Source organism: Homo sapiens, chromosome 6 (assembly GCF_000001405.40).
Source record: "Homo sapiens chromosome 6, GRCh38.p14 Primary Assembly".
Classification (NCBI taxonomy): domain Eukaryota; kingdom Metazoa; phylum Chordata; class Mammalia; order Primates; family Hominidae; genus Homo; species Homo sapiens.
Genome location: NC_000006.12, coordinates 136,333,592 through 136,336,082, shown reverse-complemented (window position 1 = coordinate 136,336,082; position 2,491 = coordinate 136,333,592). Strand labels below are relative to the sequence as shown.

General features: G+C 50.3%; 1 annotated feature.

Annotated features, from left to right (window-relative positions):
* Positions 1,019 to 1,518: an enhancer, noted in NCBI's record as "H3K4me1 hESC enhancer chr6:136655703-136656202 (GRCh37/hg19 assembly coordinates)". NCBI's record gives its function as "activates a minimal SCP1, AML or CMV promoter by ChIP-STARR-seq in naive H9 embryonic stem cells {active_cell/tissue: H9 hESC(naive)}" and the evidence as "EXISTENCE:reporter gene assay evidence [ECO:0000049][PMID:30033119]".

Here is a 2,491-nt window from a genome sequence, read left to right as displayed (position 1 = left end):
TCCGCTCCCGCTCTTTCTTCTCTGCTGTGACACCCTCCAAGGCTGCAACTTTCATCCGTAATGGATTCGTTTACACTTGGTCAAGGCTCTCGACAACAGTGGGACCAAAACCCAGAGGTTCACAGAAACTACAATAGTCACCGTGAGTCAGGCCAGTCTGCCCAGAGGATGGCCTGCAGGACTGCCCACAGCATTTGGAGGCCAGGCCTCAGCTGCATCTCTGAAGCCCAGGCAAAGGCGGCCCTGGGGAAGGTGGAACACCAGCATTTCTACTGATGCTCTGGGGTCCTGCAGAACCCTGACTGTGCCACAGACCTTCTGTACCGTGTCCATTTCCATATAATCTAATAAATCCTTCTTACAAAGGAATCCTGAGTTAGTCTGTTTTTTGGCACCAGGGAGAGAGAAAGGGAAGTCTGACATTTGGTTTAGGATTCAATCCCTAAAAACTGCCTAAAATGCTTGTATGCTGCCCTGCCCCAACTCGGGACTCAAATCATCAAACCCTGGTGGTCTTGTTTTCTAAACATTTCCCCAAAATCTGCCCATTCTGCTCAGCCCCCCTGCCACTGTGCCCATCCCAGCTGTGCCCATCTTTTACCTGTTCTGTTAGGGGTTGAATTGTGACCTCACCCGAACCTGCCTCGGAAAGATATGTTGAAGTCCTAAACCCGGGTACCTGTGAATGTTGACTGCATTTGGAAATAAGGTTTCTGCAGATGTAACTGAGTCAAGATGAGGTCATTAGGTTGGGTCTAATTATACAATTGGTACTTTTATAAGAAAAGTGGACAGAGACAAGGAGAGCATCATTGGGTGACAGATTCAGAGGCTGGAGGGATGCAGTTGCAAGCCAAGGAATGCCAGGGATCCACGGCCACCACCAGAAGCTGAGAAGTGGCAAGCAAGGGTTCTACCCAGAGCCTCAGAGGGAGCAGGGCCCTACCAATGAAACAGGAAATGTCCCCTTGTCCCCCTTGCAGGGTGTGTGATGGGAGTGTGGCTCGCTTCTTCGGTGCCCCGCTGCTCAAAACCCCTAGGGGGAGCAGGCAGACAGGCAGGTTGTGGGGCTCCGACCCCACGGCAGTGTCTAGGGGTGAATGTTTACAGCTGAAGCCGCAGTGGGCATGTGCTACAGGGTGCTCTTTCAGTTTGGCGGCTTGTGTTAGCTCAATTAGACGCCCCTGCCTTATGGCAAGGACAGAGGGCTTTCTGTATCCTGGGTTCTTGCCTTGGTGTACCAGAGGAATCGGATCACACGTGGGCTTGGAGAATGAGTGCAAGGTTTTACTGAGTGGAAGTAGCTCTCAGCAGATTGGGAAGCCAGAAGGGAGATGGTTTTCCCCTGGAGTTAGGCTGCTTAGCAGCCTGGGCTCTCCTCCAACCACCCCAGCCAAACTCCGTGTCATTCCACAAGTCGATGGCCCGCTGGTGTGCTGGCCTCTGTCGTGTGCTCTTATGCCGGTGTGCTCCCCTTGATGGCTCCTCGACGTCCAGCCACTTGTGTCTTCTTCCGCTGATGTGCTCCTCTGGATGTCCAGCCGCTTGTGTGCCTGCTTGCTAGGGTCTCAGGGTTTTTATAGGCAAAGGATGGGGGCGTGGTCGGCCAGGATGGTCTTAGGAAATGCAACATTTGGGTGCGAAGGCAGGAGTGCCTGTCTTCACCTAGGTCCATGGGCACAGGCCCAGGGGTGGAGACCTCGCCAGGGACCTGCCCTTCTCCTCCCAGCACCTCCCTGCCCGCCTTCCTTATCACCAACACCATGAGTCTGGACTGTCAGCCTCCAGAACTGTGAGACAATAAACTTCTGTTTTCAGCCAAGCAGTTTGTGGTGCATTGTTACATCATCTCTAGGAAACTAAAGCAACAACTTTGAAGCTAGACTCTCTGCCTCCATCTACCCTCGAATCCATTTTCCACACAACCTTCTACCAGGCGAGTTTTCTATCATTTTCCATCACGGGTTCCCCATTGCAGACAGTTTCCATATTTACGTGATCTTTGCGACCCCACATGATGTGGCCCCAGTTCACTCCTCTGACTTATTGCATGCTCTATACCCATTCAGTCTCGGGTCTTTGCTCCAACCCAACCTAACTGCTTGTAGCTCATGCCGTATGTTTCTCGCCCTTCTTTGCTGATGCTGTTCCTTCTGCATGGAATCCTTCAGATAGTCAGATCTGAACCTCAGTTGTATTTGTAAAGTGGTGATAATACTCTACCTCATAGAATGTTTGGAGAGCCAAATGAGATCTTGAATGTAAAGATCTTAGCACCATGCTTACCTTATAGTAAGTATTTGGTATTTATTAGCTAAATAAAAATATTAATCTTCCAATACTCAATTCATGTACCTTCAAGAAGCCAACCTTCCTCCCCAGAGTGCCAAGCTAGGTTAAGTACCCTTCCTCTTTTCTCATACTAACTTCTCGAATATGTCTCTATCACTGTACTTGCCACAGTCTATCACATTTGTATTCATGATTCCCT